The sequence below is a fragment of the Homo sapiens genome, chromosome 7, assembly GCF_000001405.40.
Source record: "Homo sapiens chromosome 7, GRCh38.p14 Primary Assembly".
Lineage (NCBI taxonomy): Eukaryota > Metazoa > Chordata > Mammalia > Primates > Hominidae > Homo > Homo sapiens.
Genome location: NC_000007.14, coordinates 70,882,820 through 70,909,183, shown reverse-complemented (window position 1 = coordinate 70,909,183; position 26,364 = coordinate 70,882,820). Strand labels below are relative to the sequence as shown.

Below are 26,364 nucleotides of genomic sequence, written 5' to 3'. Positions count from 1 at the left end.
CCCTAAAATGTATAAAACCAAGCTGCACCCCGACCACCCAGCTTGGGCACATGTTCTCAGGACCCCCTGAGGGCTGTGTCACAGGCCATGGTCACTCATATTTGGCTCAGAATAAATCTCTTCAAATATTTATATTGACTGTCAATCCATTAATTCAAAGAGTGCAAGTCCAAGCTGCGTGAGACAAACTCAAGTGTAGTTCCTCATTTTATTCATTCCTTCAACAAACATTTATTGAGTGCCTGTGTGCTCCAGGGCTGAACCTCCAGAAACTCCCATCCTGGCTGGGAGGACAGATGAGGAAAAGAGTGATGTCCACTAGCATCATGAGAACTTGTTTCTGTTATAAGTGACCAAAACACTCAACCTAGTTTAAATCAACAGGGGGATTTACGGACTTGCTTCCAAACCAAACTGAGGGTCGGGCTGCTATTTCTTGTGGCCTAACAACGAGATGCAGATGAACTGGGGAGGAAGAGACTTTTTATTTCTGTAACCAGTTACAGGAAGAAGGCCTGGAAATTATCACCAGACCGACTCAAAATTACAAGGTTTTTCAGAGCTTATATACTAAGCTATATGTCTATGTGCAAGTGTGCATTCATCTAAAGATTTGTGATTAACTTCTTTTCATCTATAACTAAGGTCTGAGTCCTAAAGAACTTCCTCTGGAGTCTCAGTAAATTTACTTAATCTAAATGGGTGTAGGTGCTGCGGTGAATACCCTTATCTTGTCTCCTGCTAAATCACAGAGTTTTGGGGTGTTCCTTCAGACTTCCAATAAACTTTATTTGTGGAGGCCCTGGGGAGTTTCTTCAGACCCCCAATAAAGCTTGTTTAATCCTAAATGGGTCCTGTTAAGAATTCCTTCATTATTTTGTCATGCTTTGAGGCCCAGGAAAGGCCTAGGCAAAACTCTTGATGGGCTTTTGTTACATTTCAGCCTTCATATAAGGGCACTGGCCTTTTTGGTTTTTAATGTTTAATTTAACTACAGAGTCAGTGCTGAAACAGTTGTGATGGACCTCGCATTAGTGAGACCTGGCCTGCCACAGACTCACATACTTGGAAAGGCAGGGGTGATGATAGCATCAGGCAGAACTGAGCCCAAGGATGTTAATGATGCCCTTGGGATTCTCTCATTCCCTCTCCAGCTCTGCTTCTCTGCAAGTGTCTGCCTCATTTGTCTCTGCAACAGGGGATCTTTTCCCTCATGGAACATGCCTATGCTCTCTCTCCTTGCCTCAGTATAAAAATACCAGGACTGGCTCTGACTGGCCAGGTGAGCAGAGCACTATACCTGTGAATGTTCCCTCCCGAATCACTTGGCTGGAGAGGAGAGGAGTAGGGTGCACTTTCCCATTGGAAAGGGTAGGGCTCTGACAAAGGAGGAATTAGAAGGGGCTGGGCTTCCCCAAACAATAGAACTTCTTCCCCACTATGCAAGAACATGGCAGGAGGCTGGAACCTATCCTTAGAAGCCCAGAGAAGAATCTGTAACTGTCCAAAGGGTTCACTTTGCCTGCTGCCTAGATAGAGCCGATTCATCAAGACAGGGGAATTACAGTAGAGAAAGAGGAATTCATGCAAACCTGGCTGTGCAGGAGACCAGAGTTTTATCATTACTCAAATCAGGGAGCAGAGTTTTTAAGGATAACTTGATGGGTGGGGGAAGCCAGTGAGCCAGGGGTGCTGATTGATCAGGGATGAAATCATAGGGAGTCGAAGCTGACTCTTGCGCTGAGTCAGTTCCTGCGTGGGGGCAACAAGATTGGATGAGCCAGTTCATCAATCTGGGTGGCACCAGCTGATCCATCAAGTGCAGGGTCTGCAAAATATCTCAAGCACTGATCTTAGGAAGTGGTTTAGGGAGGGTCAGAATCTTGTAACCTCCAGCTGCATGACTCCTAAACCATAATTTCTAATGTTGTGGCTAATGTTAGTCCTACAAAGGTAATCTAGTCCCCAGGCAAAAAGGAGGTCTGCTTTGGGAAAGGGCTGTTATTACCTTTGTTTAAACTATAAACTAAGTTTCTCCCAAAGTTAGTTTAGCCTACGCCCAGGAATGAACAAGGACAGCTTGGAGGTTAGAGGCAAGATAGAGTCAGTTAAGTTAGATCTCTTTCACTGTCTCAGTCATAATTTTGCAAAGGCAGTTTCAATTTGCGGAGGAGGTGATGTGTATGCTGAGTCTTGAAAGATAAGTTTATGTGCAGTGGGGATGAAGGTGAGGAGGGGTCTATGCAGACCAGGAAGCAGCAGGTTGGTGAGAGTGAGGAAGAAATCACGATGGCTCCAGTGTGGAGGAGAGTACAGAGGTGGACAGAGGGTTGAAGAGGGGAGTTTAGAGTTAGGCAGGGGCCCTGGTGGGAGGCAGAATTCAAAACTGAATTGCATATGGTGTCAGATAGGTGTGAACATGGGACTCATCAGGCCTGAGATCATAAAGGTAGTGAGCGGGGGCTGGGAATGTCACATCAAGCTTTGGATACAGACACCTTTCTCGTCACCACTATGACAGTGGTTATCATACTTCCTGTGCCTACGAGTCACCTTCTTAGATTAATCTTCTATGAAACATCAGATTCCTGGCCAGGTATAGTGGCTCATGTCTATAATCCCAGTGTCTTTGGATGGCAAGGTGGGAGAATTGCTTGTGACCAGGAGTTTGAGACTAGCCTGGGCAACATAGCAAGACCCCATCTCTAAAAAAAATTTAACAGCCATATGGGTGTGGTGGTGCATGCCTGTAGTCACAGTTATTCAGGAGCTACTGAGGTGGGAAGATCGCTTGAGCCTAGGAGTTTGAGGCTGCAATGAGCTATGATCATACCACCACACTCCAGCCTGGACAATAGAATGAGATACTGACTCAAAAAAAGTTAATTAATTAATTGAAAATCAGATTCCTAGATCCATGCCCCAGAGATCCTGATTCTATAGTTCTGGGGTGGGGCCCATGGATATATATGTCTAATAAGCATCCCAGATCTTCCCAATGTCAGTACTTGTAAGGCATTCACCTAATAGGGTCTATGCTTCACAGCCTCCTGGAGACCCAAGTCCTGCTTCCACCCTGAAGCCTTCTCGGCTGGGCCTTCTCTACCCACCAGCACCTTTTGTTTTGCATCACCCTTCTGACAAGTTATCATACTCACCCACACACTCAGCCCAACTCAGCTACATATAAGGCTCTTAAGAGCAGCAATTGTCCTAAACATTTTCCTTTATTCTAATAGTCCCAGTAGAGTGCTACCTATGCAGGAGTTTAATAAACATCTGTGGTTTGCATTGATTTCACAGTATGTCACGGTATTTCAAGGTGCCCATATATGAGCCACAGAATAAAAAAACCATGGCTTTTGGACAGCAGGCATTGCCTGATTAATAAAATTATCATAAATATATTGAGTTTACTTGATAATAGGTAATCACAATCAATTGACAATGAAGTGAACTACACGATCACTTAATTTAGAATAATTGGATTGAATGATAAACTTAGACTCCTCATTAAAATTAATTGTATTACTGAGACAGCCTTGGAATCCCAAATGCAAGTAATTAAAAGTTTTCAGGTAAAGAAAGATAAATTCTCCTACATGGTTGTGCAGAAAAAAAAAGGAATATGTTTATAGTCTATTTTTAAACTAGATTAAGGAAAGTAATGATGCTGTTACATTTGGCACAATGCTTTGACAGAAGGCTAGAGCTGAGTTAATTTGAATGAGCAAATATTGAACCTTTCTCAAGAAGAGAACCATTTAATATGGAAGCTCTGGGGAGGTTTAACTAACTGAGGGTTTAGGTTGGAGAAAAATGCAAACAAAGCATGTTATAGAACATTTTAAGCAGTGGATGGGTTACCAGCTCAGGTCCCAGATGATACCTCACTCCCCATGCACTGCTTGGTCAACTCAGAAGCTCCTACAGGTATCCAGATCCTAGGGCCAGCTCTATCCATGCTTCCCAGGCTTCAGTGCAAGAAGAATCACCCAGATTCTTGTTAAAATGAAGATTCTGATGCTAAATCAAGGGAGGAGCATGAGGTTCTGCATTTCTAACAAGCTCCTAGGTGATGGACCACACTTTGAGTAGCAAAGGTCTATAACACACCATGTCAGACCATGCTCAGGAGTCAGGTCTGTTCTTACAACTTCCAGAAACATTCTATGGAGACAGAGAACCAGTCAGCAGAGGCTCCTTTGGCCAGGGTTATGTGAGCATTGCAGGCTATCCAATAACTATTCACAGTTCCCAGACAAGTCATACTCCTTCTCATCTGTGCGCCTTTCCATGTAGTGTTGCCTGCATGGAATACATTGGCCCCAAAAAAGAACCTGAAGTCAAGCCACAGAGACAAACTCTGGCTTATTGCAGAAGAAAAATAATTAAAAGATAAGGGGGGCTGGGTGCAGTGGCCCATGTCTGTAATCCCAGCACTCTGGGAGGCCTAGACAGGTGAATCACCTGAAGTCAGGAGTTTGAGACCAGCCTGGCCAACATGGCAAAACCCCATCTCTACTAAAAATAAAAAAATTAGCCGGGCATGGCAGTGTGCACCTGTAGTCCCAGCTACTCTGGAGGCTTAGGCAGGAGAATCACTTGAACCCGGGAGGCGGAGGTTGCGGTGAGCCAAGATTGCACCACTGCACTCCAGCCTGAGCAACAGAGCGAGACTCTGTCTCAAAAACAAACAAACAAACAAACAAACAAAACAAAACAAAAAAAGATAATGGGGGAGAGAGACAGCAAAATGGTAGAATAAGAGATAACAGTCCTCATCCCTTCAGAAACAGACTCAACAACAATATATAGAACAAAATAAACATATGAGGACCCTAAAAACCAGAAAAGATATTGCAGTAGCCATGGTGAGTATGAAACCAAGAACAGCCATATTGAATCAGATAAGAATAGCTGTTTCACTTCCTGTATGATCACTCCACCCCCAACCCAGCACAACCCAGCACCAAGAGAGAACACCCTGGTTCATAACATCTCCCTCTGAGTGGGGAAGAGAGGAATGAAACAGGCACTCAGTGTTCCTGTTTTTGGAGGGCTACTCGAGGGACTGGTATCTGTCTTACTTGACTCAGGGAACTGCTGGGAAGCTAGCGACCTTGGATGCCTGGGGTCACTGAGAACAAAGGAGAGTTGAGTAGTTTCCTGCGGCAACGCCAGAGAACCTTCAGTACCACAGACAGACACCAGAGAAAGAGAGTATGAGCTCCCCAAAAAGAAACTGAAGAAGTTCTCTAATTGGGAAGTTATATGTATAAGCCCAGAGAAGTTGCATTCCTCAAAAAAGGTTTCAAAAGCACCCGGAATCTCTAGCAGTGCTAAGTGATGAAGATCTTCCTGCGTACAAAGGCAGCCTGTAATTATTGGGTGAGGTGTCTATTTGTTCAAATGCTTAAAACTTAGCAAAAAATAAATAAGGCCAGGCGTGGTGGCTCAAGCCTATAATCCCAGCACTTTGGAAGGCTGAGGCAGGCGGATCACGAGGTCAGAAATTCGAGACCATCCTGGCTAACACGGTGAAACCCCGTCTCTACTAAAAATACAAAAAATTAGCTGGGCATGGTGGCGGGTGCCTGTAGTCCCAGCGACTCGGGAGGCTGAGGCAAGAGAATGGTGTGAACCCGGGAGGCGGAGCTTGCAGTGAACCGAGATCGCGCCATTGCACTCCAGCCTGGGCGACAGAGCTAGACTCAGTCTCAATAAATAAATAAATAAATAAATAAATAAATAAATAAAATCACAAGGTACATAAAGAAAAAGAAAAACATGGCTCAATTGAAGAAGAAAAAAATACTCTGGAAATTAAGCCCAAACTAAGGGGAATCTATGAATTACCTGAAAGATAATCCAAAATAATCATATTAAGAAGCTCAATGTGTTACAGTAGAACACAGACAGGCAGTGAAATGAAACCAGAGGGAAAATGCATGAAAAAAAAAATGAGGATATCAGAAAAAGATAGAAACCATAAAATTGAACCAAACAGAAATTCTGGTCTGAAGAATACAATAACTGAATTGAAAAAGTCACTAGACAAACTCAACAGCAGACTTCATCAAGCAGAAGAAACGATCAGTGAACTTAAAGACAGGTCATTTAAAATTATGAAGTCAGAGGGGAAAAAAAGAAAAAAGAATGAAGAAGAGTGAACAAAGCTGAAAGGACTTATGGGACACCATCAAGCCAACCGATAAATGCATCAAAAATATCCCAGAAGGAGATGAGAAGGAAAATTAATACAGCACTTTTTTGAAAAAAATAATGGCCAAAAACTTCCAAATCTGAGGAAGGCAATGAACATCAAATTCAAGAAGCTCAAAAAAGGCTGGGCATGGTGGCTCCTGCCTGTAATCCCAACACTTTAGAAGGCTGAGGCAAGTGGATCACTTGAGCTCAGGAGTTCAAGACCAGCCTGGGCAACACAGCAAGATCCTGTCTCTACCAAAAATACCAAAAAAAAATAGCCAGGCATGGTGGTGTGCACCTGTTGTCCCAGCTACTCACAAGGTTGAAGTGGGAGGGTCACTTGAGCCCAAGGGGGCAGAGGTTGCAGTGAGGCAAGATCATGCCATTGCACTCCAGCCTGGGTGACAGAGCAAGAACCTGTCTAAAAAAAAAAAAAAAAAAAAAAAAAAGCTCAAAAGCCTCCAACTAGGATGAATCCAAAGAAGTTCATGCTGAAACACATTATGATCAAACTGTCAAATTCAAAGAAAAAGAGAGAATCTTGAAAATAGCAAGAGGAAAGCAACTTATCATGTAGAAGGGAGCTCCCATAAATCAGCAGTGGATTTCTCAGGAGAAACCTTTCAAGCCAGAAGAAAGTAGAATGATATATTCAAAGTACTGAAAGAAAACAACTGTCAACCAACAATACTGTATCTGGCAAAATTGCTTGTCAAAAATGAAAAAGAAAAAAGATTTCCCAGATAACCAAAAGCTGAGGGACTTTGTTACCACCAGATCTGCCTTACAAAAAATGCTAAGGGGAGTCCTGGAAATTAAAACAAAAGGACAATAGACAACAACACAAAGCATATACAAATATAACGCTGACTGGTAAAGGTAAATATATAGACAAATATAGGATATAGGATATTGTAATGGTGCATAAAGCACTTTTTTTTTTTGAGATGGAGTCTCGCTGTGTCACCCATACTAGGGTGCAGTGGCGCAATCTCAGCTCACTGCAACCTCTGCCTCTCAGGTTCAAGTGATTCTGCTGCCTCAGCCTCCCGAGCAGCTGGGATTACAGGCGCCCACCACCACATCCAGCTAATTTTTTTTTTTTTTTGTATTTTTGTAGAGATAGGGTTTCACCATGTCGACCAGGCTGGTATCAAACTCCTGACCTCAAGTAGTCCTCCTGCCCTGGCCTCCCAAAGTGCTGGAATTACAGGCATGAGCCACGGGACCCAGCCTCATAAAGCACTTTTAACTCTGGTATAAAATTTAAAAGACAAAAGCTTTAAAAATAAAGATAATTATAAAACTATGTTAATGGATATTCAATATAGAAAGATGGAATTTGTTCATCAATAAAAAAGTGAGGCTGAGGAGATGTAAAAGAGCAGAATTTTTTATATGATTGAAGTGAAGTTGTTATCACCTTCAAATGAATATAAAGTATCTTATGTAGTCTCATAGTAACCGCAAAGAAAATACCTATAGAAGATAAACAAAAGAAAATGAGAAAGAATCAAAGTATGTCATACAAAAAAATTAATAAAACACAAAGGAGGTCATAAAGAGAGTAAAAAAGGGACACAGTAGCTAAAAGACAGACACAAAACAATTAACAAAATGGCAATAATAAGTCCTTTTCTGTCAGTAACTACTTTCAATGTAAATGTATTAAACTTTCCAATCAAAAGACATAGAGTGGCTGAATGATTTTTTTAACCAAGATATAACCATATGCTGTATACAAGAAACCCATTTTAGATTTAAAAACACATAGGCTGAAAGTGAAAGGATGGAAAAAGGTATTCCAAGCAAATAGTAACTAAAATAAAGTATGGATGGCCATACCAATATCACAAAATAGACTTTAAGTTAAAAAAAAAGTCACAAGAGACAAAAAAGAGACATTATTATATAATGATAAAAGGTTCAATACACCGGAAGGATATATAACACTTATAAATTTATATGCATCTAACATCACGGCACCCAAATATATGAAGCCAACTGACAGAATAAAAGGGAGAAATAGAGAATAACACAGTAATAATATGAAATTCTAATATCCTACTTTTGATAATGAATGAAACAACCAGATAGAAAATCAGTAAAAAAAGCAGAGGAGTTGAACACTATAAACCAACTGGACCTAACAGATATATACATAACACTCCACCCAAAAGCAGCAGAATACACATTCTTCTCAAGCACACGTGAATAGATCACATGCTAAGTGACAAAATAAGTCTTAACAAATTTAAGACTGCAATCATATTTACTCTTTTCTGACCACAATGGAATGAAATTAGAAATCAATAGTAGTAGAGAAAATGAAAAAATTTTAAATATGTGGACATCAAATAACAGCATCTTGAACAACTAATGGGTCAAAGAAGAGACCACAAACAAAATTAGAAAATACTGTAAGACAATTAAAACAAAAACACAACTTGCCAGAATTTATAGGATGCAGCAAAAGGGGTACTAAGAGGTAAGTTTAGTTTAGAGTGGTAAATGCCTACATTTAAAAAAAGAAGAAATCTCAAATCAAGAACCTAACTTAACACCTCAAAGAACTAGAAAACGAAGAAAAACTACACCCAAAGTTAGCAGAAAGAAGGAAAAAATAAAGATGAGAGCAGAAATAAACAAAATAAAGAGGAGAAACACGATACAAAAGTCAAATAAATTAAGCTATTTATTAAGAAGATCAACAAAATAGATAAACACTTAGCTAGACTGAAAATTGATTTTATGTGTCAACTTGCCTGGATCATGGGCCACTCAGGTCACATGCTAAATTGGTGGCCCATGGTCAAGCATTCAGCCTTGATATGCTCTGCATTTAATGTTGCACCTTGGGGAGTTAGAAAGGGCTCTAACAATTTGGTTGCTTGGCTGAAACACAGACCAAGATGGTGGCCCAGAGTGAGCAAGTTGGAAAATTCCAACCTTTCTTGGTTTAATGTAGAGACTTAGGGAGACTGAAATATTAGTGTGGGTCTGGTGCGGTGGCTCACACCTATAATCCCAGCACTTCGGGAGGCCAAGGCGGGTAGATCGCCTGAGGTCAGGAGTTCGAGACAAGCCTGAGCAGCATGGTGGTCTCTTCTGAAACTACAAAATTAGCCAGGCATGGTGGCGCATGCCTGTAATCCCAGCTACTTGGGAGGCTGAGGCCAGAGAATCACTTGAACCCGGGAGGTGGAGGTTGCAGTGAGCTGAGATCACGCCATTGCACTCCAGCCTGGGCAAAAAGAGTGAAACTCCATCTCAAAAAAAAAAAAGAAAGAAAGAAAGAAAAGAAATATTAGTGTAGATTTATCATTTAAGACCTACTCATTCACCCTGGGAGGGTGCAGAAGACACACCTTTGATAAGCTGGACCTCATCAAAATTTTAAAGTTTTGTTCTGTGAAAAAGAAATTGAAAAGACATGCTACAGTCTGGAAACAAATATTTCCAAACCACATAGCTGACAAAGGACTAGCATCACAAATATATAAAGAACTCTCAACAGCAAAAACATCAAACAATCCAATTAGAAATAGGTAAAAGACATGGACAGCTATTTTATCAAAGAGTATTTAGAGATGGCTAATAATCATATGAAAAGTTGTTTGGTATAATTAGCAACCAGGGAAATACAAATTTAAATCCCAGTAAGATATCTCTCCACACATATGAAAAGTTATCAAAATAAAAAATAGTGACAACACCTAATTCTGATGAGGATAAGGAGAAATTGGGTCACTCATACAACACTGGTGGGAATACAAAATGGTAGAGCCACTCAGAAAAATAGTTTGTACGTTCTTAGAAACAAAACATGCAACTACCATTGAGCAATTGCACACTTGGGTATTTATCTCAGGAGTATGGAGACTTATACATACACACAAAAAAACTTATACACAAACATTCATAGCAGCTTTCTGTGTGACTCCAAAACTGGAAACAACCCAGTTGGTTAAGACTTGTTTTGTACCTTCATGGGTGATCTATCCTGGTAAATATCTCGTGTGTGCTTGGGAAGAATGTGTATTCTGTTGCTGTTGGGTGGAGTACTATGTAAATGCCTGTTAGGCCCAGTTGATCTATAGTGTTGTTTTTTGTTGATCTTTCTTGATCTCCTCTCTGATTGAATGGATGAATGGTTAAAAAACAACTGTGGTATATCCACACCACAAAATACAACTCAGAAATAATAAGGAATAAACTATTGAGACAATAACAACATGGATGAGTGAAAAAAGTCAATCCCAAAATGATACATACCACACAATTTTATATATGTATATATATGTGTGTGTATATATATGTGTGTGTCTGTGTGTGTGTGTATATATATATATATTCTTTTTTTTTTTTTTTTAGATAGGGTCTCACACTGTCACCCAGGCTGAGTACAGTGGTGCAATCTCAGCTCTCTGCAACCTCTGCTTCCCAGGTTTAAGTGATTCTCAGGCCTCAGCCTCCCAAGTAGCTGGGACTACAGGTGGGCACCACCACACCCAGCTAATTTTTGTATTTTTGGTAGAGACAGGGTTTCACTATGTTGACCAAGCTGGTCTCGAACTCCTGACCTCAGGTGATCTGCCCACCTCGGCCTCCCAAAGTGCTGGGATTACAGATGTCAGCCACCTCACCCAGCCCACATTATTACATTTATATAGCGTTTTTGAAATGACAAAATTACAGAAATGGAGAACAGATTTATAGTTACCAATGGTCAAGAAGGGGAGGGGGCAGGACCAACATGGATACGGCTATAGAAAGACAACAGGAGGCAACCTTGCAGTGATGGAAATGTGATGGCTCTTGACTGTCTTAATGTCAGTATCCTGGTGATGACATTGTAGTAGTATTTCAAGGTATTACCTTTGGGGGAACTGATAAAGAGTGCACAAGATCGCCATTTTTTTTTTTTTTTTTTTTTTTTACCAATGCATGTAAATCTACCATTTCCCCAAAATAAAAAGTTTCATCTAAAAATGAAAGGCCAGGCTGGGCACAGTGACTCACACCTATAATTCCAGCACTTTAGGAGGCTGAGGGGGGTAGATCACTTGAGGTCAGGAGTCCAAGACCAGCCTGGACAACAGGGTGAAACGCTGTCTCTACTAAAAATACAAAAAAAAAAAAAAAATTACCCAGGTGTGGTGGCACATGCCTGTAGTCCCAGCTCCTCGGGAGACTGAGGTGGGAGAATCACTTGAACCCAGGAGGTGGAGGTTGCAGCAAGCCAAGATTGTGCTACTGCACTCCAGTCTGGGCAACAGAGTGAGACTCCATCTCAAAATAAAGTAATAATAACAATAATAAATAAAAGGCCAGGTGTGGTGGCTCACACATGTAATTCCAACAGATTGGGAGGCCAAGGCAGGAGGACTGCTTGAGTCCAGGAGTTTGAGATCAGCCTGGGCAACATTGTGAGACCCCATCTCTATAAAATATGTTTTTAAAAATTAGCCAGGTATGGTGGCACACACCTATAGTCCCAGCTACTCATTGGGCTGAGACAGGAGGATCTACTGAGCCCAGGAGTTCAGGACTGCAGAGAGCTATGATTGTGCCACTGCACTTTAGCCTGGGCAATGGAGCAAGATCTTGTCTCTAAAAATAAATAAACGAATGATAATGGAGAGCTCACATGTTGTCCAGTATTGAAGAACCAGACCTGGAGGTTCCAAGGTCAAGATGAGGTCTAAAGTCAAGGTCCAGAACGCCCCTTGGGATGGCAGCACCACTAAGCCAAGAGCCCTCAGCTTGCACAGCTGGCTGTGAACAGTACTGATAAAACTGCAACTGGCCAGGCGTGGTGGCTCATGCCTGTAATCTCAGCACTTTGGGAGGCCAAGGCAGGCGGATCACGAGGTCAGGAGATCGAGACCATCTTGGCTAACATGGTGAAACCCCGTCTCTTCTAAAACTACAAAAACAAAATTAGCTGGGCGTGGTGGCGGTCGCCTGCAGTCCCTGCTACTCGGGAGACTGAGGCAGGAGAATGGCGTGAACCTGGGAGGCAGAGCTTGCAGTGAGCCGAGATCGCACCACTGCACTGCAGCCTAGGCAACAGAGCGAGACTCTGTCCCAAAAAAAAAAACAAAAGACTGCAATGCACTACTGCTCTCCAGCATGGGTGACAGAATCAGTCCTTGTCTCAAAAACCAAAAAACATACAAAAAGTCACCACTGCACTCCAGCCTAGGCAACAGAGTGAGACCTTGTCTCAAAACAACAAAACAATAGAAAAAGTCTCCACTGACCCATCCTCCCTCCAGCCTGGGTTTGGTTCACTTTCTGTGTGTGGTCATATGCTGCTATGTATCACGTTGGCCCCAGTAAGCTGTGAGCCCTGAGGACAGAAATCCACTTTTATGTCAGTGCCTGACCCAGCACAGGACTCAAGCCTCAATCAAGGTTAAATAAAAAGGGGAAAGAAGAGAGGGAAGAGTTTGCCTGCCAGTCAAGGTCACTATTCCTAGAAAACGACAAATAGACATGGTGCTGGGAGCAAAAGAAAGCAGATTAAGGTAAGAAGCAGGTGGACGGATGACTTCAAACTGCCTGGGACGCTGCAGACAAGGTGGGGCAGATGGTCAGAAAGCAACATCACTGAGGCAGTCAAGAGAAGGCATCTTCCTAGACAGAGAAGCCTGTAGCCGCTGTAAATATGCTAGACCTGTCAAAAGCACATGATAGATCCTCCACATAAATTATGAAACATGGCACGGTGCTATTTGCTCTATGTCAGTATAAAAAAATTTCAAATTTTTAAAAAGATGGAATATTAAAACTTGTCACTAGCATGTCTAAGTCTCCTCTTCCGACCACCCCCTACCTCCTCAAACCAAAAGCAAAAAAATGCGGCAGAACAAAAGACTCCTCTCATTCTTCATTTAAATTCAGGTCCTGTCCAAACTGAATGGTGGCAGATTTGATGCAGCGATGAGTAGGGAGGGGGCAGGCTAGGGTACTTCTCCAGAAGTTGCAGCAATGATGGAACTGCTTTTGGAAAAAGTGTAACTGAGAAAATGATGACAGGGAAAGAGATCTGACCTGATTCCATCTTGCTTCTAACCTCCAAGCTGTCCTTGTTCATTCCTGGGCGTAGGCTGAACTAACTTTGGGAGGAATTTAGTTTATAGTTCAACTTTGAAACAAAGACAATAACAGCCCTTTCCCAAAACAAACCCCCTTCCTGCCTGGGGACTAGACTGCCTTTCCAGGACTAACAAATTAGCCACAAGATTAGAAATTACAGTTTGGAAATCAAGCAGCTGGAGGTTACAAGACTCTGAACCTCCCCAAATTGCTATCCTGGGGATAACATCACTATTGTAAAAGCTAAGATCAGTGCTGGAGATATTTTGCAGACCCTGCACTTGATGGATCAGCAGGCACCACCCAGATCGATAAACTGGCTCATCTGGTCTTGTGGCCCCTACCCAGGAACTGACTCAGTGCAAGAGGACAACTTTGACTCCCTATGATTTCATTTCCAACCTGACCAATCAGCACTCCCCACTTTCCAACCCCCTACTCACCAAATTATCCTTAAAAACCTCGATTCCCAAGTTTTCAGGGAGACATTTGAGTAATAAGAAAACCCTGGTCTCCCATACAGCCCGCTCCATGTGAATTAAACTCTTTCTCTATTGCACTTTCCCTGTCTTGATAAATCGGCTCTGTCCAGGCAGCAGGCAAGGAGAACCCGCTGGTCAGTTACAGTGAGGCTGTTTCAGGCAGAGCTGAGTGACCCACAAAATTCTTAAATGGAATCTTAAGAATTTTAAGAAGTGAGGGGTGAAGATGAGCTGGCCCTAGCTAGGGGCAGAACACCCCACAGAGGGCTCCTACTGCTGTGACCGGAGCACAAGTGGGACTCAGGTGGGTCAGTCTCACCTGGTTCCAGCCCCTAAAGGCCAGGGTCAGCTGCTCTCCTCTCATGTTCCACCGCCAGGCCACTCTGGTCCCAAGGCAAGGCAGGCAGCCTGCACCCGGCTTCTTTGCATTGGCAATTCCCTGTTTGCTGGGCTGTTTGAGGGTGACAGAGGTTTGCAAAGTGCTTTCAAAAGTGAGCCAGTGGCCATGCACTACGGCTCATGCCTGTAATCCTCACACTTTGGGAGGCCGAGACGGGCAGATGGCTTGAGCTCAGGAGTTTGAGACCAGACTGGACAACATGGCAAAACTCCGTTTCTAGAAAAAAATCATAAAAAGTAGCTGGGTGTGGTGGCTCATACCTGTAGTACCAGCTACTTGGAAGGCTGAGGTGGCAGGATAGCTTCAGCCCGGGAGGTCGAGGCTGAAGTACACCATGATGGAGCCCTCCAACCTGGGCAACAGAGTGAGACTCTGTCTCAGAAAACAAAGCAAAAACAAAAGTGAGCCAGCATCCACCAGGTCCTCTCTTCCCTAGCAGTGGAAGAGCCCAGACTTCTGGAAGACTGCCTCTCACCTGGACTTTGAAACCCACATTCCACTTAAATTCTCTTTGACTGCCTTGTGAATAACAATGCATGCTACTGAGCCAGGCTAATGGAAAGTAATCTTTCTCTTTCAGAGCTATTGCTCTGTGAAGTGCTTACCAAATAGGGTTTTTAAATAGCATGAGAGCCAAACTCAATTTGGGAATTAATGTGTTTAAACTCAGCTGGAAACATTCCTCTTCATTCCCAAGGCAGAAACTGGAATTAGAAATCCCCAACTGGTCCCAGCCACTTCCGTGGACTTCGGGACAGAGAAGAGGCCAGAAGTCACTGGGGTATATTCAGAACAGGCAGATTCTGGCAGGGCCACCTGATAGCTGCACCCCAAAAAGTGTCACTGACAGAGCCTGGGAGCTCTTCTCTGCAACTAACCTGAAGGTCCCAGACATCTGTTTTGTCCCCTCTGGACCAATGAACCAAACCAAAGAGAAGGCTGACTTGTGACCCTCAACTTATAAGGACAAGGTCACAGAGGCAACAGAGTGTAGAAATGCCACCCTCTTCCTCTCTCTTCTCATGGACCAGTGGCCACCGTGGCTCTTGGCACCATGTTTTTGATATAGGAGTTAAGAAGAAATTATTTAGGCAGATAGTGAAGGCAAAGAAGTCCTCGGTAAGGTTTTCCTTTTAATGAAAAGCAGGCCCCAAATCATTTTCTTTTCTAACAAAAAACAGCCTGTAAAATCAAGCTGCAGACAGAGACAAGCAAGCTACAAGCTTGCACCGGTGAATGCTGGTAGCTGTGCCAATAGGAAAAGGCTACCTGGGACTAGGCATGTTCAAAATGGCCGCTCATCTTCTCTTCTCTTTGCCGAACCATGTGTATGGTAAGGAGAAGACAACATGGAGCCAGCCAGGCAAAGACTCCATTTGCATAATAAGATTAGGGTGGGGCGACCAGCTTCCCCGCACTATGTAAACGTCACACCTGGTCCAACCAATCTGTGGGCCCTATGTAAATCAGACATCACCTCCTCAAGCCTGTCTATAAAATCCAGTGCACGCTGCCGCAGGACGGAAGCCCCATTCAGGTGCCTCTCTCTCTCGCAAGAGACACAGCCATCCTCCTTTATCTTTCTTTTGCCTATAAACCTCTGCTCCTAAACTCACTTCTTGTATCCGTGCACTCGATTTCCTTGGCGTGAGAAGACAAACCTCAGGTATTACCCCAGACAACGATGCTGCTTCATTTTTATCTCCAAGACATGCCAGGACCTTGCAGCTCAGGTTCTCTCAACTGGACAGTCCAGTTGGCTTTTGGGAGTTGGGGGCTGCCCCTATCCCCTGAGGTTCACGGGCTGGGCTACTCTGGGCCAACCTCTGCACCTGCCAACTCCTGCAGCAGGCAGAGAAGAGCCCAGGCCAGGATGGCAGTGGATTGACTGTGCTAGCCAAGGGAGAGAAGGGAGGTGGCTCAGACACTCCCCTCAGCACCCAAACTCATTTTTCGGGCAGGACCCCAGACTTCCCAGTGCTTAGCGGCTTCCTCAGCTGAAGCTCAGGTTGACTCCAGAGGGGTTTCCTTGTTATAGAATTGTGGAGGTGCACATAATCTCAGCCCTTTGGGAGGCCAAGGTGGGAGGATTGCTTGAGGCCAGGAGTTTGAAACCAGCCTGGGCAACACAGCAAGACCCCATCTCTACAAAATAAAAAATAGGCCAGGTAGGGTGGCTCACACCTGTAATCCCAGCACTTTCGGAGGCTGAGGTGAGTAGATCACGAGGCCAGGAGATCAAGACCATCCTGGCTAACATGGTGAAACCCCATCTCTACTAAAAATACAAAAAATTATCCAGGCGTGGTGGTGGGCACCTGTGGTCCCAGCTACTTGGGAGGCTGAGGCAGGAGAATGGCATGAACCCAGGAGGCAGAGCTTGCAGTGAACCGAGATCACACCACTGCACTCCAGCCTGGGTGACAGAGTGAGACTCTGTCTCAATAAATAAATAAATAAATAAATAAATAAATAAATAATAAAATTAGCCAAGTGTGGTGGTACATGCCTGTGAGTCCCAGCTACTCAGGAGGCTGAGGTTGTAACCACCCAATGGGTTCACCTTGCCCCACTGCCTAGACAGAGCTGATTTATCAAGATAGGGAACATAGAGAAAGAGTAATTCATACGTAGACAGCTGTGCCGGAGACCGGAGATTTATTATTACTCAAATCAGTCTCCATGAGCATTCAAGGATCAGAGTTTTTAAGGACAACTCATGTGGGTTGAGGGAAGCCAGTGAGCCAGGAGTGCTGATTGGTTGAGTCAGAGATAAAACCTTAGGGAGTCAAAGTTGTCTTCTAGTGTTGAGTCAGTTCCCAGGTGGGGGCTACAAGATCAGATGAACCAGTTTCTTGATCTGGGTGGTACCAGCTGATCCATCAAGTCCATGGTCTGCACAATATCTCAAGTGCCGATCTTAGGAGAAGTTCAGGGAGGGTCAGAATGTCATAGCCTCCAGCTGCATGACTCCCAAACCATAATTTCTTTTCTTTTTCTTTTTGATTTTTTTTGAAACCGAGTCTCTGTGTCACCCAGGCTGGAGTGCAGTGGTGCGATCTTGGCTCACTGCAACCTCCGCCTCCTGGGTTAAAGCGATTATCCTGCCTCAGCCGCCTGAGTAGCTGAGATTACAGGCACACACCACCACACCTGGTTAATTTGTGTATTTTTAGTAGAGACAAGGTTTCACCACGTTGGCCAGGCTGGTCTCTATCTCCTGACCTCAAGTGATCCACCTTCCTTGGCCTCCCACAGTGCTGGGATTATAGGCATAAGCCACCATGCCCAGACCCAAACCATAATTTCTAATCTTGTGGCTAATTTCTTAGTCCTATAAGGGCAGTCTAGTCCCCAGGCAAGAAGGAGGTTTGTTTTGGGAAAGGGCTGTTATCATCTTTGTTTTAAACTATAAACTATAAGTTCCTCCCAAAGGTAGTTCAGCTTACGCTCAAGAATGAACAAGGACAGCTTGGAGGTTAGAAGCAAAATGGAGTCAGTTAGGTTACATCTCTTTCATTATCTCAGTCATAATTTTGCAATGGCAGTTTCAAAGTGGGAGGATCACTTGAATCCAGAAGTTCAAAGCTGCAGGGAGCTATGATTGTTACAGAGTGAGACCCTTTCTCTTAAAAAATAAAAAAAAAAATTGTGGAGGTGCTGACCAAAACATTGACTACTAAACCAACCTCCAATAAATGCCTCAATTGTAGCAGTGGTCATCTCTAACTCCAGCCCATTATCTCAATCTCTGCAGCTTTTTTCTTCCTTTCTCAGAGTTTTATTCTTCTCTCCATCCTCCCACCTCCCCAGACTGGAACCAGAATGCATCAAGCCCTTAACGTTGGCTGAGTGAAGCACTGTTTCAGCTTTAGGGGGTTGGAATGAGAGCAAGTAGCATTCGTGTCCTCAGGGAAAATAGAGATTTATCAGGCATAAAAATGAATGATTTTGTGCGTGTCTTTAAAACTGGGCAAAATCATCTCCAAATTATGATGGCTGTCAGGAGCTGGAGGGAAGGGGAAATTGAATAGGTAAGGTACATTTCTAAGTTCTGAGATATTGATTGGGAGTTCTTTCAGCAGCTCTTGTGTTCCTTTGACAAACCCCATTATTATGGATTTTGTGTTTGTTTGGTTTTAGTACTTCCTTATGATGCAGGATTTTCTTCTCAGTAATTTTGCAAGCTGGGGACTTCCAGCCGGTGACACCTGGCTTGGGCCTCACTCGGCCATGCTATCTGCTGCAGGAGATGGCCACCCTACTTGGCCCATCCTGGCTTAGTCTGGTTTGTGTACCACTCCCCGAGTGCTTGTCCCATGCCCAAGAAAAATGAGGATGTGCTGACAATTGAAGAGTGAACAAGGCAGTGAGTTTTATTGAGTGATGAAAACAGCTTTCAGCAGAGAGGGGACACAGTGGTGGTTCCCCTACCCAAAGACAGGAAAGTCCCTTCCATGTGGCTGAGCCCTAGGGCTTTTTATGGGCTCAGAATAGGGGAGATGCAGGCAAACAGGAAAAGAAGTTTTCACTCTGGGTTTTGGATTTCATCCAGGACTAGCAGCCCAGTATTTCAGCCTTCAGGCTGTTTTTGGCTTGAATTTGGGGTTTCACTGGGGACCCACCCCTGTTTGCCTAGGCATTTGGCTGCCTCCTGTCACTATCACTTACTTTCTGATACTATAAGATGCCCCAGACTCAACTTTTATGTTTCATGCGTGGTCCTAGAATAAGCCAATTCTCCAAGAGGTTATTTATCATTTTTAACCTTGTACCTGGCATCTTAAAATTATAGAATGTTGTATGAAAAGATGCCTTAAAGACCACCTGCTCCATTCCCCTTATTTTATAGTTAGGGGAATTGAAGTTGGATGGGGGTGGGTTAGGTAGACATTGGCCACAATCATGTCTCAATTCAGAATGAAGACCAGAGCTCAGGTCTCCACCCAAGGAGACTGTTCTTTCCACACCATAATAATTGTCCCCCAGTAATTTTATTTACAAGTGTAAAACAAGAAATAAATTTGGTTGCACACCAAGATAGCTCCTAATAATTGCTTTATGGAATAAACTTTCATGTGAATGTGCTTTTATATCATTTCGGCCTTGCCCAGAAAACAGTTGAGGACTGAAATAAAACTTCTGATTAGTAAAGCCATCTAGATAGTGTTACTGCTGAGTGAATGTCTTGTTGGATCTACTTGAAGCCAAAGCCCACTTGTTAGCTAATTTAATACTGTGCTTGCTTCTATGTACATGTTTGGTGACATTTTCTTTTTGTAAAGCCATTTAAGTATTTGATGATAATCGTTCCCATGGATACTGCAAATTTCATTTTCTCAGGAAAACACAAGTTCTTGCATTTAATAGTAGGTAGACTGCATAACTGATTTTAATGTTAAGGGATTTTAAAAAGTGGACCGGATTCTAGAAGAGTGGAATTCCATGGTCAGGACAGCCCAGGATTGTCCAGTGACGGAAGAATATTAAAGGATTAACAATGCAGTGAGCAGGACTAGGGAATCTTTCAACCTGCACGTGCATCTGCTTCAGAGGAGCTGAGTCCCCACCTTGGGTGGTTCAACAGAAACAAGACCCCAGGTAATGTGGTCAATGTGAGTGGGGGAAGTGCAGTAAGAAGTCTCCACTCTTTTATAGTTAGGGGAATTGAGGTTGGATGGGGGCAGGTTAGGTAGGTTTCATTTCCTAATAACTGTGCTCAGGTGACTCCCTTTATATGCCACAGTCCCTTAGTGACAGCTTGATCCTATAAGTTATTTGGGTTACTGAAAGAGCTTCATTTCAGTTTATAAGACTTGGTCTTGTTCATTTTAGGATTGCAATTTCATATTCTATGCAAAAGCCTGAACTGTGCTTCCCATCTCCAGCTCCGGATCTAGCAACTATGTGTCTTGTCCCCCACCATTCTCTCTGCTCCATTGCTCTTGCTGCCTGCTGTCAGGGGAGGCATGGGAAGGAGGACAGACACCCTGTCCTCTAATTTGAATGTCACCACTCCCCTTACTGGCTCTCTGGCTGCTATGGTTTGAACCTGTCCTCCAAAGTTCGTATGTTAGGAACTTAATCCCCAACACAACAGTATCAAGAGGTGAGACTGTTAAGAGGCAGAGCCTTCATAAATGGGTTAATGTTGTTATCATGGGAGTGGGCTTGTTATCACAAGAGGGGATTTGTTATAAAAGCCAGTGTAGCCTTCCATCTTGCACGTGCATTCTCTTTCACTGTGGATGCTTTCCTCCATGTTATGATGTAGCAAGAAATCCCTCACCAGGTGCAGCCCCTCAGTCTTGGACTTCCCAACCTCCAGAACCATGATCCAAATAAACTTTCATTTTTTTATAAATTACCTAGCTTGTGGTATTGTTATAGCAGCACAAAAGGGATTAAGACACTGGCTATGCAGAGAACTGTGCCCAAGGAGCCTCTGTGTCCCCACCTTGCTGAGGATCCTTTTTCTCTCTCTCCCTCCCTCTCTCCTCCCTCCCTTTCTCCCTTCTCCCCACTCTTCATCTCTTCCCCCTCCCCCTTCCTCTCTCTATCTCTATCCTCCTCCTTCTCTCTTTCTTTCTCCCTCTCTTCCCCTCCTTTTCCTCTCCCTCTCTCTCTTTTCCTCCTCCCTCTTTCTCCCTCTCTTTCCCTCCTTTTCCTCTCCCTCTCTCTCTTTTCCTCCTCCCTCTTTCTCCCTCTCTTTCCCTCCTTTTCCTCTCTCTCTCTTTTCCTCCTCCCTCTCTTTCTCTCCTTCTCTCCTTCCCTCACCCCCTCTCATTCTCCCTTTTCCTGTCTCTCCCTCCCTTCTTCTCCCTGTCTCCCTCACCCCCTTCTCTCTCCCTCCTTCTCTCTTTCCCTTCCTTCCCCTTCCTCTCTCTTTCTCTCTCTCCCTCCCCTTCCTCTCTCTTTTTCTCTTTCCTCCTCCTTCTCTCTCCTTTCCCCATCTCTCTATCCCTCCCTTTTCCTTTCCCAATCTGTCCCTCCACCCTCCCTCTCATTCCCTCTCTTCCTCCCTCCACCCTCCTTCTCTCTCTCTTCCCCACCCCCTCCTTCCCTCTACCTTCTTCTCTTTCTCCTTCCCTCCCTCTCTTTTCCTCACTCCCTTCTTCTCTCCCTCCTTCTCTCCTTCCATCCCCCTTTCTTTCTCCTCCCTCTTTCTCTCTCCTTTCCTCCCTTCCCCCACTTCTCTCCTCCTCCTCCTCCTCCTCTCTTTCTCTCCCCTCTCTCTCTATTCTCTCTCTCAGCCTCTGTCTGTCACCCCAGAGTCACCTCCAGCTTCTCATCCCTGTGTTCACCTCTCCCCACAGCTGGCACTTTGGTAGTTGTTGTGGTTTGAATGTATGTGTCCCCCCAAAATTCATACTTTGGAACCTAAGCCCAGTGTGATAGTATTAAGAGGTGGGGCCTTTAGGAGATGATTCAGCATGAGGGCTCCACCTTCACAAATGGGATTTACTATCTTATAAGAGAGGTAGAAGGGAGCCGTTCATTCCTTTTTGCCCTTGCATCCCTCCCCATGTGAGGACACAGCATTTGTTTCCAGAGGATGCAGCACAAGGTGCTGTCTTGAAAACAGACAATAGGTCCTCCTCAGACACCAGTCCTGCCAGCACCTTGATCTTGATCTTGGACTGCAGCCTCCAAACTGTGATGAGGACTAAATGTTGATCTTTTCTCTCTTGCCCAGATTCCTATGTAAGGGGACTGGGGAATCATGCCTGGCACACCATAAAATCTCATCAGACAGGTTTCCATTAACCCTATGTGAGTGGCTTACTTTCCAACCTGACTCTAGTAAAACACAACATGACAGCAGACCTTTAAGAAAAATCTAAAGATTTTACCCCAAAATATATTTCTTTGACATATTTTGAAATGGCTTCCACAGAGCCAACAGATTGAAACAGCCGTGGAAAGCCATCTTTTGTGAGAGAAATTTGCATCTTTAGAGAATCTCCATTAATATAGCTGGGTCTCTCCCCTCCCAAGATGCTCCCAGATCTAGGAGAGATTACCTGAGAGCCTGAAACCTTTAATGTCTGAAAACTGACATTTACCATCCCTGAGATTTATCTGAAGGCTGCTATCTATGAGGCTTCATCTGCAAAATAAGAACCTTGATCTTCACAACCCCCTTATCTTAACTCACGCATTCCTTTCTACTGATTTCAAGACTTCAGACAATAGCTTAACTCTCTCAACCAATTGTCAACTAAAGATTTCCTGGCAGGCCCCAGTGCCTCCTGGCTGCAATCCTAGCACTTTGGGAGGCTGAGGCCAGGGGATTGTTTGAGCCCAGGAGTTTGAGACTAGCCTGGGCAACATAGTGAGACCCTGTCTCTATTAACTACATGAAAAACATATAAATAATAAATAAATGAAAAGTTAAAAAAAAAGAATTTCTAAAACACACCTTTGACTTGTAAGACCCACCTTCAAGATGTCCTGCTTTTTCAGGCTAAACGAGTGTATACTTTCTTCAATAGATTTATGATTTTTACCTGCAATTGCTGTCTGCCTAAAGTTTATAAAACCAAACTGTAATCTTCAGTGTCAACAGCCTCAGACACACTTTCTCAGGACCTCTTGAGGTTGTGTAACCCAGGCTGCAGTCACTCGCATTGGCTCAGAATAAATCACCTTAAACATATTCTGGCAAAATTTAAATTTTTCCACCATCACTGAGAAATCAATTTTCTAGTCCTTGTAAATTACCCAGTCTCAGATATTTTGTTAAGCAGCAGAGACAGACTGAGCCAGTGGTAGTAGTATATGGGGGAGACTAGTTACCAATGGTGAAAGGAAAATAAATCTTGGGACCCCAAAATCACTAAGCCGAAAAGAAAAGTCAAGGCTAGGAACTGCTTAGGGCAAACCTGCTTCCCATTCTAGTCCTAATAAAGGTAGCTACTAAAATTTTTTTTTAAAGCTACATACCTCCCTCACAAGGAATTTCCTTGTGGAAAAAGGATAGACAGAACTCAAAATCATTCCTCTGCTCACTGAGGTAAATGCATATCTGCTTGCCTCCTTTGGAAAGGCTAATCAGAGACTCAAAAGAATGCAAACGTTTGTCTCTAACCTACCCTATGACCTGGAAGCCCCCTCCTAGCTTCGATTTATCCCACCTTTCCACATAGAACCAATGTATATCTTATATATATTGATTGAGGGCTCATGTCTCTCTAAAACATGTAAAAACAAGCTGTGCCCTGACCACCTTGGGCACATGTCATCAGGACCTCCTGAGGTTGTGTCATGGACACATGTCCTTCACTTTGGCAAAATAAACTTCCTAAATTGACTGAGACCTGGCTCAGACATTTGAGGTTCACACTGTTACCAGAAAGGGGTCCCAATCCAGACCCCAAGAGATGGTTCTTAGATATTGCACAAGAAAGAATTCAGGGAAAGTCCACAGAGCAGAGTGAAAGCAAGTTTATTAAGAAAGTAAAGGAATAAAGAATAGTTATTCCAAAGGCAGATGCCCATTTTTATTTCTTGATTATATGCTAAACATAAACAAGATTATATGCTGTTATTCATGCCTCCCCTTTTGAGGCCATATGGGGTACCTTCCTGACGTTGCCATGGCATTTGTAAACTGTCATGGCGCTGGTGGGAGTGTAGCAGTGAGGACAACCAGAGGTCACTCTCGTTGCCATCTTGGTTTTGGTGGGTTTTAGCCGGCTTCTTTACTGTAGCCTGTTTTAGCAGCAAGGTCTTTATGATCTGTATCTTGTGCCAACCTCCTATCTCACCTTGTATCTTAGAATACCTTTATTTACTGGGAATACAGCCCAGCAAGTCTTAGCCTTATTTCACCCGGCCCCTATTCAAGATGGAGTTGCTGATTCAAATGCCTCTGACAACACAATAAAACCTTCTGCAATGTCCTTTCTACACAACATAAACTCCGGGCCAAGCCCAAGAGGGGAATGCAGGTAGCACCCACCTGGTCACCTCTCTTCCTCAGCTCTGCCTTCCCTCTCTCCAGCTCCTTCCTCTCTGCCCCAGCAGCAAATAGTCTTCTGAGAAGACCCCACAATGGAGTAGGATGGGGGAGATTCAGGTTCCCCCAGTCTTGTAAACAGTCCTGAGATGACTGCCCTCTCACCCCATCCTCCCCAGAAAAGAGAGTAAAATCATCTTCTCGGGGTTAACAAGAAAGTCATGCCAAGTTCTGGAAAGAAATATAATAATAATTAAGCATTAATTAGGTTGTCCTTTGGCCCACTTTTTTTGTAGCTGCTTGCTAACCAAAAATCACCTAGTACTGGATACTGACCATTTACATCCCCATTGTTCCATTGATCTCTGATGTTATAATCAGAATGCTTTTCTTTAAGGATTGCTTAAGATGTTTTTCAGATCCTGAATTCCAGCAGCATGGCTGATGCCAGCCAGTTCAAAAACCCCCACAGAGGAACAGAATCTGCATGAGAATACAGCTTCTTCATCTCCCTGTCCATGTACTCCTCCACCATACACTCCCCAACCTATCAACAATCCCCACACCTCAGCCCATTACTTCATCAAGCCCTTTGAAATCCCTAGCTAGAACTCCTCAAGGATACAGATTTGAGGCTTGCTCCTGTTTCCTCGTTTGTCTGCCTTACGATCAAACGTCTTTCTCTGCTGCAATTCAGTGTCTCAGTATATTGACTTGCTGTGCATCAGGCAATGAACCTTGGACAGTTGCAGGAGGTCAAGTATATGCCCTCCCTGTGCAGCCTTATCTGAATTTGCCAGGATAACTGAGTCATTCCATTCTCCATGGCTCAGGGCTGTCTCTGTCATGTTGCTCTGCAGCATAAGCTCTCCATTTTTCCCTCCCCCATTCTGGGCCTGGGGCCATCTTAATGGAAGTTTCAAATGACTATGGACCCAAGGCCACATGGTGGTTCTGAAAGTGTGGCCCCAGGACCTGTGACCTCAGCATCACCTGGAAACTTGTTAGAAATGCCTGTTTTCACAAAAAGACACTTGCACTCATGTTTATCACCGTGCTATTCACAATAGCAAAGTCCTGGAATCAACCTAAATGTCCATCGGTGGTGGGTTCTGCAAAGAAAATGTGGTACACATATGCCATGGAATACTATGCAGCCATAAAAAAGAATGAAATCCTGTCATTTGCAGCTACATGGATGGAGCTGAAGGGCATTATTCTAAGTGAAATAACTCAGAAACAGAAAAGCAAATACTGTATGTTCTCACTTATAAGTGGGAGCTAAATAATGAATACACATGGACATACAGGGGGGGAATAACACATGTTGGAGACTCCAAAGGGGAGGAGACTGGGAGGGAGGAGAGGGAAGAAAAATTACTTACTGAGGACAGTGTGCACTATTCGGATGATGGGTTCACCAGAAGCCCAAACACCACCCCCATGCAATATGTGCATGTGAACAAGCCTACACATGTACTCCCTGAATCTATAAAAAATACGTTCTTTTTGAAAAAAAAGAAATGCTCATTTTCAGGCCCCAACTCAGATCTACTCAATCAGAAACTCTGGAGGTAGGGCCCAGTGATGTGCGTTTAACAAGTCTTCCAGGTGACAGGGCTTGGAAGAATGAGAACCACTGTTTCAGGGTGCAGATGACCTCTGTTATTTTTTTTTCAACCGTACCTCTGACCCTATCCTTGCAACTTCCTTTTTTTTTTTTTTTTTTTAGATATAGTCTCACTTTGTCACCCAGGCTGGAGTGCAGTGATTATGTAATCATGGCTATCTGCAACCTCCACCTCCCAGGTTCAAGCGATTATTTTGCCTCAGCCTCCCGAATAGCTGGGATTACAGGCATACATCACCACACCTAGCTACTTTTTGTATTTTTGGTCAAGACAGGGTTTCACCATGTTGGCCAGGCTGCTCTCGAACTCCAGACCTCAAGTGGCCCACCCACCTCGGCCTCTTGAAGTGCTGAAATTACAGGCATGAGCCACCACACTCAGCCTGCAACTTCTTTAGTTCTTGGTTTCTAAGAAGTTTAAGTTACTTTTCTAAGTTCATACAATTAGCCAGGCATAGTGGTGGCTGCCTGTAATCTCTGCTACTCTGGAGGCCAAGGCAGGAGAATCATTTGAACTTGGGAGGCAGAGGTTGCAATGAGCCACAATCTCACCATTGTACTCCAGCCTGGGGAACAG

At 43.8% G+C, this 26,364-nt stretch overlaps 10 annotated features.

The window, feature by feature from the left end:
• Positions 682 to 1,181: an enhancer, noted in NCBI's record as "H3K27ac-H3K4me1 hESC enhancer chr7:70372989-70373488 (GRCh37/hg19 assembly coordinates)". NCBI's record gives its function as "activates a minimal SCP1, AML or CMV promoter by ChIP-STARR-seq in naive H9 embryonic stem cells {active_cell/tissue: H9 hESC(naive)}" and the evidence as "EXISTENCE:reporter gene assay evidence [ECO:0000049][PMID:30033119]".
• Positions 1,182 to 1,683: an enhancer, noted in NCBI's record as "H3K27ac-H3K4me1 hESC enhancer chr7:70372487-70372988 (GRCh37/hg19 assembly coordinates)". NCBI's record gives its function as "activates a minimal SCP1, AML or CMV promoter by ChIP-STARR-seq in naive H9 embryonic stem cells {active_cell/tissue: H9 hESC(naive)}" and the evidence as "EXISTENCE:reporter gene assay evidence [ECO:0000049][PMID:30033119]".
• Positions 5,137 to 5,196: an enhancer, noted in NCBI's record as "active region_26115". NCBI's record gives its function as "activates an Ori minimal core promoter by ATAC-STARR-seq in GM12878 lymphoblastoid cells {active_cell/tissue: GM12878}" and the evidence as "EXISTENCE:reporter gene assay evidence [ECO:0000049][PMID:35858748]".
• Positions 13,450 to 14,215: an enhancer, noted in NCBI's record as "NANOG-H3K27ac-H3K4me1 hESC enhancer chr7:70359955-70360720 (GRCh37/hg19 assembly coordinates)". NCBI's record gives its function as "activates a minimal SCP1, AML or CMV promoter by ChIP-STARR-seq in primed H9 embryonic stem cells {active_cell/tissue: H9 hESC(primed)}" and the evidence as "EXISTENCE:reporter gene assay evidence [ECO:0000049][PMID:30033119]".
• Positions 14,216 to 14,981: an enhancer, noted in NCBI's record as "OCT4-NANOG-H3K27ac-H3K4me1 hESC enhancer chr7:70359189-70359954 (GRCh37/hg19 assembly coordinates)". NCBI's record gives its function as "activates a minimal SCP1, AML or CMV promoter by ChIP-STARR-seq in primed H9 embryonic stem cells {active_cell/tissue: H9 hESC(primed)}" and the evidence as "EXISTENCE:reporter gene assay evidence [ECO:0000049][PMID:30033119]".
• Positions 15,748 to 16,514: an enhancer, noted in NCBI's record as "H3K27ac-H3K4me1 hESC enhancer chr7:70357656-70358422 (GRCh37/hg19 assembly coordinates)". NCBI's record gives its function as "activates a minimal SCP1, AML or CMV promoter by ChIP-STARR-seq in primed H9 embryonic stem cells {active_cell/tissue: H9 hESC(primed)}" and the evidence as "EXISTENCE:reporter gene assay evidence [ECO:0000049][PMID:30033119]".
• Positions 18,378 to 18,507: an enhancer, noted in NCBI's record as "active region_26114". NCBI's record gives its function as "activates an Ori minimal core promoter by ATAC-STARR-seq in GM12878 lymphoblastoid cells {active_cell/tissue: GM12878}" and the evidence as "EXISTENCE:reporter gene assay evidence [ECO:0000049][PMID:35858748]".
• Positions 18,618 to 18,737: an enhancer, noted in NCBI's record as "active region_26113". NCBI's record gives its function as "activates an Ori minimal core promoter by ATAC-STARR-seq in GM12878 lymphoblastoid cells {active_cell/tissue: GM12878}" and the evidence as "EXISTENCE:reporter gene assay evidence [ECO:0000049][PMID:35858748]".
• Positions 23,498 to 24,181: an enhancer, noted in NCBI's record as "NANOG-H3K27ac-H3K4me1 hESC enhancer chr7:70349989-70350672 (GRCh37/hg19 assembly coordinates)". NCBI's record gives its function as "activates a minimal SCP1, AML or CMV promoter by ChIP-STARR-seq in naive H9 embryonic stem cells {active_cell/tissue: H9 hESC(naive)}" and the evidence as "EXISTENCE:reporter gene assay evidence [ECO:0000049][PMID:30033119]".
• Positions 24,182 to 24,865: an enhancer, noted in NCBI's record as "OCT4-NANOG-H3K27ac-H3K4me1 hESC enhancer chr7:70349305-70349988 (GRCh37/hg19 assembly coordinates)". NCBI's record gives its function as "activates a minimal SCP1, AML or CMV promoter by ChIP-STARR-seq in naive H9 embryonic stem cells {active_cell/tissue: H9 hESC(naive)}" and the evidence as "EXISTENCE:reporter gene assay evidence [ECO:0000049][PMID:30033119]".